At 41.1% G+C, this 17,490-nt stretch overlaps 1 long non-coding RNA gene across 1 annotated transcript in view, besides 3 other annotated features; it reads left to right on the top strand.

Annotated features, from left to right (window-relative positions):
• The window catches only part of LOC107985871 (uncharacterized), a 62,078-nt gene extending 55,878 nt beyond the window's left edge, over window positions 1–6,200 (top strand). Inside the window, exon 4 of the long non-coding RNA XR_007086290.1 lies at window positions 3,434–6,200. This is a non-coding gene — a long non-coding RNA (uncharacterized LOC107985871). The remainder of the gene's footprint in view (window positions 1–3,433) is intronic.
• Window positions 8,142–8,881: an enhancer, noted in NCBI's record as "NANOG-H3K27ac-H3K4me1 hESC enhancer chr2:38334777-38335516 (GRCh37/hg19 assembly coordinates)". NCBI's record gives its function as "activates a minimal SCP1, AML or CMV promoter by ChIP-STARR-seq in naive H9 embryonic stem cells {active_cell/tissue: H9 hESC(naive)}" and the evidence as "EXISTENCE:reporter gene assay evidence [ECO:0000049][PMID:30033119]".
• Window positions 8,882–9,621: an enhancer, noted in NCBI's record as "H3K27ac-H3K4me1 hESC enhancer chr2:38334037-38334776 (GRCh37/hg19 assembly coordinates)". NCBI's record gives its function as "activates a minimal SCP1, AML or CMV promoter by ChIP-STARR-seq in naive H9 embryonic stem cells {active_cell/tissue: H9 hESC(naive)}" and the evidence as "EXISTENCE:reporter gene assay evidence [ECO:0000049][PMID:30033119]".
• Window positions 16,835–17,335: an enhancer, noted in NCBI's record as "OCT4-NANOG-H3K27ac hESC enhancer chr2:38326323-38326823 (GRCh37/hg19 assembly coordinates)". NCBI's record gives its function as "activates a minimal SCP1, AML or CMV promoter by ChIP-STARR-seq in naive H9 embryonic stem cells {active_cell/tissue: H9 hESC(naive)}" and the evidence as "EXISTENCE:reporter gene assay evidence [ECO:0000049][PMID:30033119]".

Genomic DNA, 17,490 nt, shown 5'->3' with positions numbered 1-17,490 from the left:
TGCCTGTGCTCTTGGTCTGCACCCCTTGCTACCTTCTGCTACTTCAATTATTATTTCTTCGTACTCCTTGCTCACAATCCAGGCTGCTGTCAACTGCCCCCCACCCCCGCCCCCCCCACCCAGTGCAACTCTATCTCTGCTCAGCCGGTGAGCCATTGTCCAGGTTCCTTCTGGCTGTCCCTGGATTGCCACTTATTCATGTTCTTTTCCCTTTCTAGCATGAAGAAAAACTCCTGTTCCATGGCAGCTGATTTCTCCCAGGAGATCTGGGCCTCTGGTGGGCAAATTGCTGCTCTCTTCCCCAGCAAGCTTCTCCCTGGAACACATGTGCACTCGGGGGAATGGGTTTGACCAGGGCTGGTTCCAACCCAGCATTACACTGTCTGTGGGATCACATCTCTTTCCAACATCCAGTTCTGACTCCCATTCCCCTCTGTTTAGCTGCTTCTTCACACAGGATGCTTCTCAGAAACTTCACTTCCAAATTATGGGGTGGGATTCAAGCTGGAATTCTTCATCTATGATGAAATTTTAAAATGGTATTCAAAGCTTTGTGCAAAATAGCATTTTATGGTACGTAAACCTCTAATTTTTATCAGACTCTCAAAGGGATCTGCTAGAGACCACGGGCCTCTAAAGCTCTTTAAGTTCTAATGTTCTGTGACCCTGTGATTGCATAATATGATTTTGTGGCAAATTTGCCCAAAGCAGAAGCATTCAGTCACTCTCCCAAACTGCTCTATTACATTCCTAAGTGAGTACAAGAGTGTATGCAAGCATTTTAGCCTTATTCGCACAGAAGATATTATATTAAGAGAATAATCAAGGATTCAGCATCAAAAGCTTTATCAGCAAGATATTAGTACTCTACCTAGAAGACTATTCTAACCTCAAGTACTATAAATATTAGGAGATCTTTATTTTCATAGCAGCAAGATCTTGGAAACTGTACTGGTGAAAAAAAGATGGTGCTTAGAACTCCTGCCTCCCTTTTTAGTTGCTCTTTCTGTTCAAGGAGTGGGATGCATGGGAAAGGTGGCCTGGCTCCCTTCTCCTCTGTGTAGCCTGTAGTTCTACGATTGGCCCCTAGACGGCGATCTTGTGTTAGTGAGGGACATGGTAACTAAATGAAGTGGGAGCCGGCAGTGACTGATGGCTGAAACTGTCAACAGATCAAATGGTAAGAAGTGAATAGTAGTGATTTTTAACCGTGGTTGCAGGATGAAATTGGAAAAGTAACACAAAATCTTCCTATATTACTTAGAAGGAAATTTGGAAACACTTAGAATTAGTCTGTGTATTGAAAACATGATTTAAGTGTGATATTTAGAGGAAACTGTCAATTAAAAAAAATTTTTAAATTATGGTAAAATACATATAACATAAAGTTTGCCACGTTAACCATTTTACAAATGTGCAGTTTTTAAACCAAGTGCACAATCGGTAGTGTTAAGTGCATTCATGTTGTTGTCCAACCAGTCTCCAGAACTCTTTCCATCTTGCAAAGGTGGAACTCTGCATCCATTAAACGGCAACTTTCCGTTACCTCCTCTCCCAGCCCCTGGCAAACAGTATTCTACTTCCCATGTCTATGAATATGAGTGCCTCAGAGAAGTGGAAAAAAGTATTTGTCTTTTTGTCACTGGCTTATTTCACTTAGTATAATATTCTCAAGTGGGACCTGCCAATTTTCATTACAAAATTATTTTTTAATTTGTAAAGAAAAACTGGCAATTAGTAAAAACCATAAGACTGGACATTGTCTCATGCTCACAGCTTCACAGGCAAATGCACTCATTCAAACCAGTAAAAGTGAAAACCTCCATCCACAAGACCCACCAGGAGGTCTCATAAGGCTCTATTAAACCTGCAAACTCACAAGACTGCCAAGGCCCACTCTAGACAGCAGTTGACCCAGAAGATTCATAGGCCAGGAGGCAGAGCATGTCAGTAGGGCACATCCAGACTTCCTCTTCTGCGGGACCTCGCAGCAGACCACAAAGCCATCCACACAGTGGGCAGAAGCTATTCTCTTTGGCCCCCATGTGGACTGAGTTGTGAAGAAATGAGACTCACATCAGTGGGGTGTGGAGGCCACACTATATGAGAGGCCCTGTATTTCACAGCAGCTAATATCTCTTGGAGGAACTCCATGGCCATAACTTTCATGGTCTTCTCAAGGTCATGCCAGTTACAAGGGTCACTGCACTTAGGGAAACTCGAAAATATGGCTTCTTCTCTGGTATTTATAGTTGTCCCAATCCAGATAGGATTTACCAATCAGGGCCCACTTGTACTTTCCTTTATCAGGTTTCCATGGGAACAGAGCTAGGAAGTTAGCCAAAAATCAAATGCTCATGCAAAACTGGAAAGGGTTTCGTTAATCCTTTATTCACTGCCCTTCACATGGTTAGATTACAAAGTCTGACAAAGCATCCAGTTAAATAGAAAGGAGTCAGAATGACAAACTGATATGAAGAACTAAATTACACAATGGCATTTGTCATCTCTTATTTGTTACAGCTGCTTTGGTGTTCAAAATGGATGCGACTTTGCACAATGCCTGGTTACTTCTGGGGAAAATTTTCCATTTCAAAGCTTCATAAGAGAATAAATTATATTTGGGGGGTGGATTTAAATACAATTGGAAGAGGGTTTCTCTCTAAAGTAATTTCTATAGAAAATAGTGAACAGAGATTAAGAGAGCAAGGAAAAACAAATCTGGGCTCCAGAAGGAAGCCAGTTAAGAAAGTTGACTGCCAGAGGGCTGGTAATTCAAGAACAAGATGAGAGATATGGTTTGGCGGAGCCCCTTTCTTTATCCCTCACCTCTTTGGTTCTCCCTGCACCTTCTGCTGAAGTTTGGGATTCTGTAACTAGAGATAAATCTGTTCATTCCACAATGACATGTAAAACTTAATGTACAAATACCTTAAGAGAGAATTATTACAAAGTCTAAGAACGCAGAATCACAAAATGTTTAAGTAGAAAGAAGTCACAGAGCTCACCTAGCAAGCTCTTTATCTTGTAATGAAGAAACTGGGTCTCAAAGAAGGTAAGCAGCATTCCCCAAGTCACACGGACTGGTAGTAATGGAGCTATGGTTAGAACCTCAGATGCTTGACACACAGCCGATCCAATATTATATTTTTTTCCTAAGAGGGGAAAGAGGAAGCATGTGGAAAGGGAAGAGAGGAGTGCTGACTTGGGAAGAAGGCAGCAGGGCAAGAAGAGGGAAGGCACAAAGGCATTTCTTCCTGGCAGTGGCTGCTCCCTTGTTGCAGGTTAGCTTCCCTTTTTGATGCAAGGCGAGGACTCCACATGGGTAGGAAAGGGCATGGGGCCAGTAATTTGTTAACTCTGATCTTGCTAAAAAGGAGTCTCTTTTTAATCTTCAAAAGAGAAAGTAATTTGCTCTTTAATCATTCTTCAGGGGCTTTGGAACTGCACATAGAAAAACTATGACTTCCTCAGGATACAAAATCAATGTGCAAAAATCCCAAGCATTCCTATACACCAGCAATAGACAAGCAGAGAGCCAAATCATGAGTGAATCTCATTCACAATTGCTACAAAGATAATAAAATACCTAGGAATACAACTTACAAGGGATGTGAAGGACCTCTTCAAGGAGAACTATAAACCACTGTTCAAGGGAATAAGAGAGGACATAAACAAATGGAAAAACATTCCATGCTCATGGATAGGAAGAATCAATATCATGAAAATGGCCAAAGTAATTTATAGATTCAATGCTATTCTCATCAAGCTACCAGTGACTTTCTTTACAGAATTAGAAAAAACTACTTTAAATTTCATATGGAACCAAAAAGGAGCCTGTATAGCCAAGACAGTTCTAAGCAAAAAGATTAAAGATGGAGGCATCATGCTACCTGACTTCAAACTATACTACAAGGCTACAGTAACCAAAACAGCATGGTACTGATACCAAAACAGATATATAGACCAATAGAACAGAACAGAGACCTCAGAAATAACACCACACATCTACAACCATCTGCTATTCAACAAACTTGACAAAAACAAGCAGTGGGGAAAGGACTCCCTATTTAATAAACGGTGCTGGGAAAACTGGCTAGCCATATGCAGAAAACAGAAACTGGACCCCCTCCTTATACAAAAATTAACTCAAGATGGATTAAAGTCTTAAATGTAAAACCCAAAACCATAAAAGCCCTAGAGGAAAACCAAGGCAATACCACTTAGGACATAGGCATGGGCAAAGACTTCATGACTAAAACACCAAAAGCAATTGCAACAAAAGCCAAAATTGACAAATGGGATCTAATCAAACTAAAGAGCTTCTGCACAGCAAAAGAAACTATCATCAGAATGAACAGGCAACCTACAGAATGGGGGAAAATGTTTGCAATCTATCCATCTGACAAAGAGCTAATATCCAGAATCCACAAGGAACTTAAACAAATTTACAAGAAAAAAACAACCCCATCAAAAAGTGGGCAAAGGATATGAACAGACACTTCTCAAAAGAAGACATTTATGTGGCCAACAAACATATGAAAAAAAGCTCATCATCACTGGTCATTAGAGAAATGCAAATCAAAACCACAATGAGACACCATCTCACGTTAGTTAGAATGGTGATTATTAAAAAGTCAGGAAACAACAGATGCTGGCGAGGCTGTGGAGAAATAGGAACGCTTTTACACTGTTGGTGGGAGTGTAAATTAGTTCTGTTGTGGAAGACAGTGTGGCAATTCCTTAAGGATCTAAAATCAGAAATACCATTTGACCCAGCAATCCCATTAATGGGTATATACCCAAAGGATTATAAATCATTCTACTATAATGACACAAGGACATGTATGTTTGTTGCAGCACTATTTACAATAGCAAAGACTTGGAACCGACCCAAATAGCCATCAATGATAGACTGCATAAAGAAAATGTGCCATATATACATCATGGAATACTATGCAGCCATAAAAAAGAATTCGTGTTCTTTGCAGGGACATGGATGAAACCGGAAGCCATCATTCTCAGCAAACTACCACAGGAACAGAAAACCAAACACTTCATGTTCTCACTTATAAGTTGGAGTTGAACAATGAGAACACATGGACACAGGGAGGGGAACATCACACACTGGGGCCAGTCGGGAAGTGGGGGCCAAGGGAAGGGAGAGCATTAGAAAAAATACCTAATGCATGCGGGGCTTAAAACCTAGATGACAGGTAGATAGGTGCAGCAAACCACCACGGCACATGTTTACCTACGTAACAAACCTGCATTTTCTGCACATGTATCCCAGAACTTAAAGTAAAAGACAGAAAAGAAAAGAAAAGAAAAACTGTGACTTCCCAGCACAGAGAAGCCCTGGGTTAGGACCTTCACTCACCTGTCCCCACCCACTGGTCTTTTGTAAGGTCAGCATTTGTAGGTGAAATGGCCTGGGTGTATTGTCCTTATACCTCTTTCTCTTTGATTGAAGACAGGAATCACCCTCTATATTATCCATTAAAGATAAATTAAGACGTTTCTGGATCTTCATTTACGATAGAGAGACCATGGTGAGGAGAAATGTGAAAGATTTTTGCAAAGCCACTGTCAGACTGGGAGTAATGAAGAGATGAAGAAGAGGGCCATGAGAAGTAGCCAGTTCTTGAGAGAGGGAAGGGCCAATTTGAGAGATGGAAGAGGAAAGTTTGGCCTGGCCCAAAGAAGATCCTATGTGAACAGAGAAGCCAGGTGTCCTGTTGGACTGAGCTCAAGAACAGGATCTGAAGAGGGCCAGTGAAAGGACCTCGCTTCTCTAGCTGAAGGAACTGAGAGCAAGAACTGCAATCCCTACTTGAGGAAAGGCTCTGGGAACGAGAAATCAGAGGAGACACACTGTGCCAGGAAGGGCTCGAATAGGGGAAACCATCAGCCCAGCTGAGCACGGCCGACCCTCCACTTGCAACCTGCACAAGTCAGAATTGAGTTCCTGCCCAGAGGAGCCTCACACACCAGTGAAGGCCCACTAGACAGGGGGTATTCTTCTTTGTAACCCCACTCTCTGGAGGTACTAAGCATAGAGTAAGTTATTCAATGTGGCTGAACAAATATAGCCTATGCAGAATGCCGCTAATGCCTCAATATTTTCTCCAGTTTTTCCAGGGCATTCTTAATTTGAGACTCATGGCCAATCAATAAACCCTGATTTTTGGTTCAGAAAATGTGCTTTCTCTAGACACTTGAAGAGTTGGGGAAAGTTATAACCATGAGGAGGAAGCATGGGGTCTCTGGAGGTGACAGTCCTCCAGAAAAGGAGTTCTTGAAAAGAACAGGGATCTCTTGCTCTTGTGTGTGTGTGCACTTGCATCCCCCAGGTCCTCTCTGAGGACCCAGTTAGGTTTTTTTTTTTTTGGTTGGTGACATCTGGCAGCGTTCAGCCTCTCCTCCCAGCTAATGCTCAAGAAAAGCTAAGCTGACCCTGTGTCACTAAATTGTCACCAGCTGTGTCTAACTTTAAAAATCTGTGATTAATATGAGAGCTGAATGTTGCTTATTAACCAAACACAGCTTATTAATCATTCACAGGTATGTGGTAATGCTTCCAAAGACATGCCCTGGCAGCTAAGAATGTACGGGCTTTTACAAAGAGATCAACAATAGAACAGGAGAAATTCTACCAGATGCAAAAAGAAAAGGGCAAGGGAGAATATAAACGTTTGCCTAATTCACTGATCTGCTTAAACTGCCTTTTAATGCTTAGAAAATAGAAAGGATGGCACGATCCTTTGATGAAAGGAGGCTGTTTATGTCAGAAGAAGTCCAGACCTCTCACAGTGACGAGGGGAGAATAAAAAAGCTGCAACATCAGGCGGGTAGTCCCAGTTTCCTCCCTCAGTTCCGTGCCAACAACCTAAGGGTGCTCGTCTGGCAGGGTCTGTCCTTTTTCACGTCTTTGGAGCTCATCAGTTTTTGGGTTCAGCTCTCTGGAGGTGGTGTCCTCTCTAAAATCTAGAATGTAGGCACCACCTGGGACCCCTTCTGCCAAAGGAGATACAAGCAGAGCTGGAGGTCAACAAACCATGGTGCTCCCACCCTCTTCAATCTTACTTCAGGAAGTGACTGTGGAGACCAAAGGCAGGCTCCTTGGTGGCCCTATCCAAGCTGAGCTGGGAGTGAACATCTGCTGGAATCCCTTGGTAGAAGGCTGGGGGTGCTGTACCAAGAGATTGTCTTTTCAGAAATGTGGTGAGCAATTATGCAAGATTCGAGAGCTCAGCAGAGGAAAAGGGGCTCCTAGCTGGGAAGGAAGAAGGACCCCAGAGCTTTGAAACACACATTTACATGCATAGACACATGCACACACACACCCCCATGTATTCATACCGTGTGTGTATGAATGTACAGATGATCCCTCACTCATGATTTGACTTAACAATTTCTTGACTTTATGATGGCACAAAGGCAATATGTATTTGTAGAAACCATACTTCAACGAACAACACAACCATTCGATTTTCACTTTCGGTATGGTAGCCAATAAATTACATAAGATGATTTTGCTCAACTGTAGGCTAATCTAAGTGTTCTGAGCATGTTTAAGGTAGGCGAGGCTAAGCTATGATGTTCAGTAGGTCAGGTGTATGAAGTGCATTTTTGACATACGGTATTTTCAACTTATGATGGGCTTATAGGAACAAAATCCCATTATCAGTTGAGGAGCATCTGTTTGTGGAGAAATAATCACAATCCTGGAACAACTCATCTGACCAAATTTTCTAATGTTTTATATCTCAGATTACAGTAGAAACATGATTATTGTAGAAAAAAATCAGGAAATACAGAAAAATATAAAGAAAAAAATAATCCCATCACAGAAAGAAACATTAAACATTTTGCATCTGGCACTCTGGTCTTTGAACTTGGCAGATTTAGTGCTCTTTATTTTGTTTTTCAATATTGGAATCACACTCAATATACTGTTTTATTTACGTTGACAATGCACTGCTAACCTACTTTAAGTTATGAACATATCGTGGACATTTCCCCACATTTCCACGATTTTTATTGTTGGTATAATATTCATGTTAGGATGTGCCCAACCAGATACTTTAACTGCAATCAAGATAAACCCATTTACTCAGAATCTTGGCTCACAGCGTAAGTAAAAATGACTGGATCTCTAGTTGGGCCCTATAATGCGAAAAGTCTCACTACACCAGGACGGTATGTTACTGGAGAATGGAGCAGGCGCAGAACAGGGCAGCCTGCTTTCTGTCTCTCCTGTGTTTCTGGGAAGAGAAGCTATTTTCTCCCCTCCTCCTCTGCTGTGATTAGATTTATTTTCTAATCTCTCTCTGTTCATTTGTGGTTTATTGTTTGCCAGAAGTCCCCATGTCTGTTGTTTTGTCATTCTGAAGCGGCTTCGTTGTCTGGGGTAAATACCCAGGGTTCGTTACCTGGCGCCAAGAAAATTTAGGACAGGGACACAAAGGAGGCCTTTAGGAGCGCAGGTTTAATAGGCAGAAGAAAGAGAAAGGAGAACAGCTTTCTCTCTAGCGAGAGAGCGGGGCTTCTGAAAGGGAAAGACTTGCTGGGGCGGAATTCTCCAAATTTTTAGGCAGGTTTGAAGAGGCGGTGTCTGATTTACATAGGGCCCACAGATCAGTTCGATTAGGTGTGATGTTTACATAGCAGGAGGAAGGCTGGCTACCTCACCCTCATCTTACTATGCAAAAGAGCTTTCCACTTGACCCGCGCCATGTTGTCTGTTCCTTAATGTACACGTGGCTGGCACTGAGAAAAGGAAGATGGGCTGGGCGCGGTGGCTCACACCTGTAATCTCAGCACTTTGGGAGGCCGAAGCAGGCGGATCACGAGGTCAGGAGTTCAAGACCAGCCTGACCAACATGGTGAAGCCCCGTCTCTACTAAAATACAAAATTAACTGGGCACGGTGGTGCATTCCTGTAATCCCAGCTACTTGGGAGGCTGAGGCAGGAGAATCGCTTGAACCTGGGAGGTGGAGGTTGCAATGAGCCTCCACCATGCCATTGCACTCCAGCCTGGGCGACAGAGCGAGACTCCGTCTCAAACAACAGCAACAACAACAAAAACAAACTAACTAACCAAAAAAAAAAAAAAAAAAAAAAAAAAAAGGAAGAGAAGATGGAACCGCCATTTTGAACATGCCTAGTCCCAGGTAGTATTCCTCTGCTGGCATCTATGTCTGTAGCTTGATTTCACAGGCTGCTCTTTGTTAGAAAGGAAAAGTATTTGGGGCTGGTTTTCATTAAAAGGAAAACCTTACCGAGGACTTCTGTACCCTCACTATCTGCCGAAGTAATTTATTTTTAACTTGTGTATTCTCTGAGTGGTTCAGAGAATCTTAATAAAAGAGGAGGAGGTAGGGTGACCCTCAGCACTTAGGAAAATACGGACACCTCATTCTGGAGTGCCTGAAGTCAGCCTGCAGGAACTCCCTGTGTCTGAGAGGCAGCCCTCGCTCTTCCTGAGCTAGTGGCAGAGGAAAGCGGCTGGAACAGCAGGGTCCTGTAGTGTGGGTGGGAGCTTTAACTCACGCTCCTTCCTATCTGTTCCCACTTAAAACCATCTGGGCTGTGAGGAGGTAATTTTCTAGCCCTTCAACTTGTGTGACCACACACATTCTTTAAAGAGATGTTTACTAGCTTCACAGGATTAAAAACAAATTCTCCTTTAAAAAGTTCAAAACAAACAAACAAAAAAAAAACCTCTCAGTTTTCTCTGTGTTCCCTCTTCTGACTCTCCATAAGAAAGGTATTTGTGGCCTCTCTGAACCATGACTCAGATTTTCACTTGAGTTTTGACTTTTCTCTTTTCCCTACAACTTCCTGTTGCTGCTGTGAAATGCTGTTGCCTGAGAGGGCTTTTCTTTTTTCCCCTGATTTAACTCCAAGGTGATTTATGGGTCCCTGTCTCGATCTATGTCTCAGTAGAGATGAGGGGAAAAAGAGACGGCCAAGACCTTCACGGCCTCCTCATTCTCCTGACCTTAGAGTCCAGCTCACACAGAGGCTGGCTAGGAGTGGAAGTGCCACTTCTCCATGAGGGCGGTCCCCATTCCTGACAGTGCCAACTGAGGATTGTACATATTTTAGGCAGAAAAGCACAGGACCTTTGTTTTTTAGAATTCCACTCTGATTTTTCTTCTTATTTTTTCCCTGTGCTAGTGACCCAGGAATAAAGCTAGGGAAAGAGAAAATGTGATCATTCCGGCCTGGGGAAGGTGAAAGGACAGGATAGCAACAAATAACAGAGAATGATGCATAACAGCATATTGATAGTCTTCACAGTTTGCAGAGCATTTTCATATCCATTATCTCATTAGCTCCTCACAGCCGCCTGCGGGGAAATGCACCACAGGCATTGTGCTTATCCTGGTCTGCAGACTAGGAGCTGCAGGTCTGCGATGGATGCTGTGAGATGTCACCCAGACCCCTCGTCAGGGCGGAGAAACTCACTCCCCAGCTGTCCAGTGCCCACTGCAAACAGCCACAATTGAGTCCCTCACTGGGAATTCCCCCGCTGAAGGAAGCTGCCTTTGCCAAGGTTATCTCCCTCCCTGGGCCCTGCCTTGATTCCAGGCAACTCTACGGGGCCATCCCAGCTCCAGAACACCCTGTAGGATCAGCTGAGAACCCTAGGATCAGCTGAGAACCTTGTAGCAGCTGCATCAGAGGTCAGCTTCTCTCTCTGCCCAATTTTCCTTTCCTCCCTCTCTCCCTCCGGGGGTTGCTCTTGAGAGCTCTCCCTGTTAAACTTCTTGCATGCAAGTCCCCATCTGAAAGTCTTCCAGGGAACCTCACTGTATTGGCCCATTCAGGCTGCCATAACAAAGTACAACAGACTGGTGGCTTAAACGATATAAATTCATTGTCTCACAATTCTGGAGGCCAGAAGTCAGAGATCACAATGTGCTCTGGGACTCTCTTCTTGAGTTGCAGATGGCTGTTTTCTTTGTGTCTTCACGTGGTCTTTGCTCTGTGCACATCTGTGTTTTCAATCTTCTTATAAGGATACCAGTCATATTAGATTACAGCCCTCTCTAACAACCTCATTTTAACTTAATTACCTCTTTAAAGACTCCATATCCAAATACAATTATGTTCTGAGGTACCCGGGGTTCGAGGTATGAGTTTTGGGTGGCCACAATTTAGTTCATGATACCTACCTAACACAATGTTGAAGAGATTGAGTGACATGCCCCAAATAAAGCAGTGTCCCCTTATTTAACAACTTATAAAATATCTTACAGCCCTGTGGTTCTCCCTGATCTTCTGCCACTTATACCTTATGTAATGGAATGGGAAGGTATCACTGCCAGGAAATCAAGAATTAGGATCCGGAGTTTCTGTGCTCTGTTCGCTACTACACGTGATCTACCACAATTGGGAATCTAACTCATTCTGTTCTGCTAAATTGTTGCCAGTGCTCACAAACGCACATTGTAGTGGACAGTATAATAATATTATTGTTAACTGATGTTATTAATGACCACAAAATGACAAAATTAAGGACACACAAAAAAATCACCTGGAGTATACTCTTGGTGAAGCAATAACACAGGGTACAAAAGAATACAGAATACACAGATCTGGGTCTCTGGGATAAAGACTAGATCCTAAAAATTGTAACTGATCAGAAAAATACAGAGCTGTATGGTCCCAAGTGGGAAATATTTCATACAATGGTGATCTGACAAGCTTCAAATTTTTTTCATGTGTAATGATGTGATTGTTAAACACTAGATACGCATTGCTGGAAATTTGATTTTCCTTGTCTCCTGACAAATCCACACGGATGAAACGCTAGCTGGAGGAGATTGGGGAGAGAAAAGAATATGATTTTAAATCAAAAGTAGTTTTGCCTTGAAAACAGCATGCTGTAAACTTGACTTTAGATTCTCACTCCACTCCTTCCTATATTGTGTGCTATGCAAGTGCTTTTGTTTCATTGTGCCTCATTTTTTTCTCAGCTATAAAATGGAGATAACAATTTTTTCGTTGTAGAATTATTGTGAAGATTAAACAGATTTATTTTTTATTTTTATTTTATTATTTTTTTATTTTTTTGAGATGGAGTCTCGCTCTGTTGCCCAGGCCAGAGTGCAGTGGCGCAATCTCGGCTCACTGCAAGCTCTGCCTCCCGGGTTCACGCCATTCTCCTGCCTCAGCCTGCCGAGTAGCTGGGACTACAGGCACCTGCCACTATGCCCAGCTAATTTTTGTATTTTTAGTAGAGATGGGGTTTCACCATGTTAAACAGGATGGTCTCGATCTCCTGACCTTGTGATCCTCCCGCCTCGGCCTCCGAAAGTGCTGGGATTACAGGCTTGAGCCACTGCGCCCGGCCCAGATTTATTTTTTAAATGTAAAGCACCCTGCACAGTGCTGGTGTATAGCAGGAACTCCACAAGTGTTAGTTTCTGGCTCATTAGAGAGAAAACCTCTCCTGCTAATCAATGCATTGCTACAGCTGCCAGCAAAATGAGAGAAAGACCTTCAATGCCACCCCCAAATCTATCCCTTATGCATAAGGGAGGTGGATATTCTCTTTCAACTTCAGGATTGCTGGTGGAGGCCTCTGCATCACTGCACTGAGCCCCGCAATAATCCTGCTAGCTGATCTTTCAGGGTCCCCAGAACACCGGAAGTTCTAAAGGGTTAATGCATGCAATGGATAAGGAAGAGAATAAACCAAGTAAGAGAAAGAGAGAGAGAGCACTATACAGATGGGTCTTTCTTTTTTCTTTTAACTTTTATTTTCGGTTCAGGAGTATATGTATAAGTTTGTTACCTAGGTAAACTTGTGTCATGGGGGTTTGCTGTACAGATTATTTCATCACCCAAGTACTAAGCCTAGTACCCAAAAGTTATTTCTTCTGATCCTCGCCTTCCTGCCACACTCCACCCTCAAATAGGTCCCAATGTCTGTTGCTCCCCTCTTTGTGTCCGTGTGTTCTCATCATTTAGCTCCTCCTTATAAGTGAGAACATGAGGTATTTGGTTTTCTGTTTCTGCGTGAATTTACTAAGGATAGTGGCCCCCAGCTCCATTCATATTTCTGCAAAGCACATGATCTGGTTTTTTTTAAGGCAGCATAGTATTCCATGGTATATATGTATCACATTTTCTTTATCTGATCTGCCACTGATGGGCATTTAGGTTGATTCCATGTCTTTGCTATTATGAATAGTGCTGCAATAAACATATGTGTGCATGTGTCTTTATAGTAGAAGAATTTATATTCCTTTGGGTATATACCCAGTAATGAGATTGCTGGGTCGAATGGTAGTTTTGTTTTTAGCTCTTTAAGGAACTGCCATACTGCTTTCCACAATGGTTGAACTAATTTACACTCCCACTAACAGTGTATAAGAATTCCCTTTTCTCCACAACCACACCAGCATCTGTTATTTTTTGACTTTTTAATAGTAGCTATTTTGACTGGTGTGAGATAGTATCTCGTTGTGGTTTTGATTTTCATTTCTCTAATGATCAGTGATATTGAGCTTTTTTTATACACTTGTTGGCCACATGTATGTCTTCTTTTGAAAAGTGTCTGTTCATGTCCTTTGCCCACTTTTTAATGGGGTTGCTTTTTTCTTGTAAATTTAAATTCCTTATAGATGCTGAATATTAGATCTTTATCAGATGTATAGTTTGCAAATATTTTCTCCCATACTGTAGATCATTGTTGTTTACTCTGTTGGTAGTTTCTTTTGCTGTGCAGAAGCTCTTAAGTTTCATTAGATCCCAGCTGATAAACAACTTCAGCAAAGTTTCATGATATAAAATCAATGTACAAAAATCACTGGCATTTCTATACATCAGCAACAGCCAAGCTGAGAGCCAAATCAGGAATGCAATTTCATTCACAATTGCCACAAAAGAATAAAACACCTAGGAATACAGCTAACCAGGGAGGTGAAAGATCTCTACAATGAGAATTACAAAACACTGCTCAAAGGAATCAGAGATGACACAAACAAATGGAAAAACATTCCATGCTCATGGATAGGAAGAATCAATATCATTAAAATGGCCATACTGTCCAAAGCAATTTACAGAGTCAGTGCTATTCCTATCAAACTATCAATGATATTCTTCACAGAACTGGAAAGAAAAACTATTTTAAAATTTATATGGAATCAAAAAAGAGCCTACATAGCCAAGGCAATTGTATGCAAAAAGAACAAAGCTGGAAGCATCACGTCAAACTATACTACAGGGCTACAGTAACCACAGCCACCTGGTACTGGTACAAAGAGACACACAGACCAATGAAACAGGATAAAGAGCCCAGAAATAAGCCTGCACGCCTATAACCATCTGATCTTCGACAAAACTGACAAAAACCAGCAATGGGGAAAGGACTCCTTATTCAATAAATGGTGCTGGGATAACTCGCTAGCCATATGTAGAAGACTACATATACACCATATACAAAAATCAACTCAAGATGAATTAAAAACTTAAATGTAAAACCCAAAATTATAAAAACCCTGGAAGACAACCTAGGCAATACCATTCTGTACATAGGAACTAGCAAAGATTTCATGACAAAGACACCAAAAACAACAATAACAAAAGCAAAAACTGACAAATGGGATCTAATTAAATCTTTTTTTTTCTGTTTATTCTGTTTTCAAATACTCATTATAGAACATTTCACCCAATTCAAAAAGATACATAGAAGAGGGTGAGAAGATTTAACATTTTGGTGAACATCCTTCCATGTCTTTCTTTATGCTAAAATACATGAGTGTAAACGACTTTTAAAAAAGGGTTTTACACTATGTGCTAGTTTGAAAACTGCATTTTTTTCACCAATAACTCATCATACCTATTCATCATATCAATGAATATAGACAGACAGTCTTTAATAGCTGCAAAATATCCCATTGTATGTTTCAGAATTTATCCAATCCCATATTGCTGAATATTTAGGTACTTTCCATTTATTTGTTGTCAATTATAATAAAATATTTTGTTAAACGACTTTGTATATGCATTTTCTCAAACTTGTCCAATTGTCTTTAGGATAAATTCCTAGACTAGGATTGCTTGGTCAAAGGACACTGGCTCCATAAAAGTGATTAACAATTTACCTTCCCAGCTCAAGTGTTAGGGAAATCCCAAATTCCAGCTGTCTCACTTCAAATTCATGATGATAAAATGGAAACTCAACACTGGAATTCTATTATACATCTCTACGTGGTTTGCTTTCCTACTCTTTTAGGATAATTCTAAATCTTTTCATTATGCCTTAACCCTACTGCACCACTTTCCCCTCTTATATGCTCAGTTGATGTCCTGGTTTCATTCTTTAAAAAAAAAAGTCATGAAGCACACCACCATTTTCTGTACACCCCTAAATCAACACACCCCTCCCACCCCCACATACACACACACTGGAACCCATTTTCTCTACCTTCCTCCTTCACTGTGGCAGAGTCCACATGGCTGGCACTGTTCAGCATCTCACTTGAGCCACATTTACGAAACAACTCAAGGACTTCTCTCCTTCTCAGGTACTGACACATAAAATCAATACCAAAACTCAACAAAGATAGACTAAAAAGAAAAAATAGGTACAGATCAATATCATATCACTCATCCATTCTTTCAGTACACATTTATTGAACACCTACTACATACCAGGCACTAAGGGAAGAGAATGGTGAGTGATATAAACTAGATCTCTATCCTGGAAGTATTTATAATCCAGTGGTAGAAACAGATATAAACTCACCAAAAACAAGATAAGCAGATTGCTTGTGATGGATGCCAGCTAGAAAAGAGAGACTGACTGGATAGACAGCAATGGGGTGGATTCAGAGCCCTAGAAAGGAAGGTCAGGGAATGATGCTCCGAGAGGAGATACATGAAGAAGGCAGCCATTTGAAAGTTCTTCAGAGAAGAAGTTTCCAGGCAAAAAAAAAAAAAAAAAAGCAAGCCCAGAAATCACTCTGACGTTGGAGGCAAAGCCGGGAAGCCAGGGTGGGTGGAGAGCAGTGCATGAAAAAGGCAGGAAGGGTACAATAGTGTGCAATAGGAAGGGGGCTGGACTTTATTGCAAATTAATTGAGAACATGTTAAAGAATATCAAGCAACATGCTTGAAATTTCATTTTTAAAAGACCTCTTGAGGTAAACTGTGGAAATTGAACTTTACAGAAACCCAAACAACTAGTTGGAGAATAGCCTCACTTTTTATACATTAAATCACATAAAACTCCAATAATGCAATGATGGATAAAAAAATCCACTGTCTCACACAAAAAAAACAAAAAACAAAAAACAAACAAAAAAAAAACCACAAAGAAAACAAAACCACTCCAAAGGTATATATCATAGAGTGCAAAAATCCCACATTCAAAGCAGAGGTGAATTACTTGTCAGGATCCCTTAGTGCTGAAACTGCATGTGGAGCCCTCTTTCTTTCTTTCTTTCCTTTCTTTCTTTCTTTGGCTTTATTAAAGTTTTTTTTAAGGAAAAGAAAAAAAACCAGATTTATGCTTCGGAAAAAAATTTTGGCATAGATTCTAAACAAACACACTAAAGCCATATTCTTTAATCTTCTTAGATTCATAAATGAGCTATTTCCTTACTTAAGTACAATTAGGAATGGCTTATTTTCTCAATTTTAAGTGAGTTTCTGAAACATATCACATGACACAGAGGATGGGTGGAAATTAGAAACTGTTGCTGCTGTGATAGTTCATGAATCATATGATCTTGCTTTTCCTCCATAATTTGCTAATAGCGTCTGAAATCTAAGACCACCGCAAGGAATTAACATATAATTCAATCAGAGTTAAAAGGATATTACCCAAGTTAGCGCTGTCGGTTTCCAGCATGCAAGTGGTGACAAATTAGGAAATCTTTTTTTTATTTATTTATTTATTTATTTATTTATTTATCATTCTTTTGTATATTTAAGATTGTCCTCTCTAAACATTTGGATATCCATGTAACACTGCCTTTAGGATAAAAATAAGATGGGGAGGGGGTCTGGAGTTGTTTGCAGATATTTTAACACATGCTTGAAGTAAATATGTAGAAAAATAAATGTTTTTACACATGTATAAATTATTCCACCCCCAGAGAGTCACTGCTCTTAGGTAGCCACAGGAGATGGATCTTTTGCATGTAAACGCAGTTGGTTCCCTTCTATGAAAGGCTCTCTGGCTTTCTCTTTGTTTCCCCTTCAGACTTTGTGGGGGCCACTGTGGGGACATCTTAAGTCATGCATTTCCTAGGCTAATTATTCCAGCGAACTAAGCCTGCTGGGCATTAAGGCTGTGGTTTGTGCTATTACTACTCTAAGATCAACGTTCTCTCCTATTTCATTACGTTCAAGGTCACTAAGGAAAGATTTTAAACCCAAAGCGGTGCCTCCAGAGCCCTGGGGGTTCAGACAAGGCATTGCTTCTCCTAGTATCACCTACATCCTAGCAGCCTCTCATTATT

The sequence above is a fragment of the Homo sapiens genome, chromosome 2, assembly GCF_000001405.40.
Source record: "Homo sapiens chromosome 2, GRCh38.p14 Primary Assembly".
Classification (NCBI taxonomy): Eukaryota; Metazoa; Chordata; class Mammalia; order Primates; family Hominidae; genus Homo; species Homo sapiens.
The sequence above is the reverse complement of the archived record's forward strand: the minus strand, read 5'-3'. Positions and strand labels throughout refer to the sequence as shown.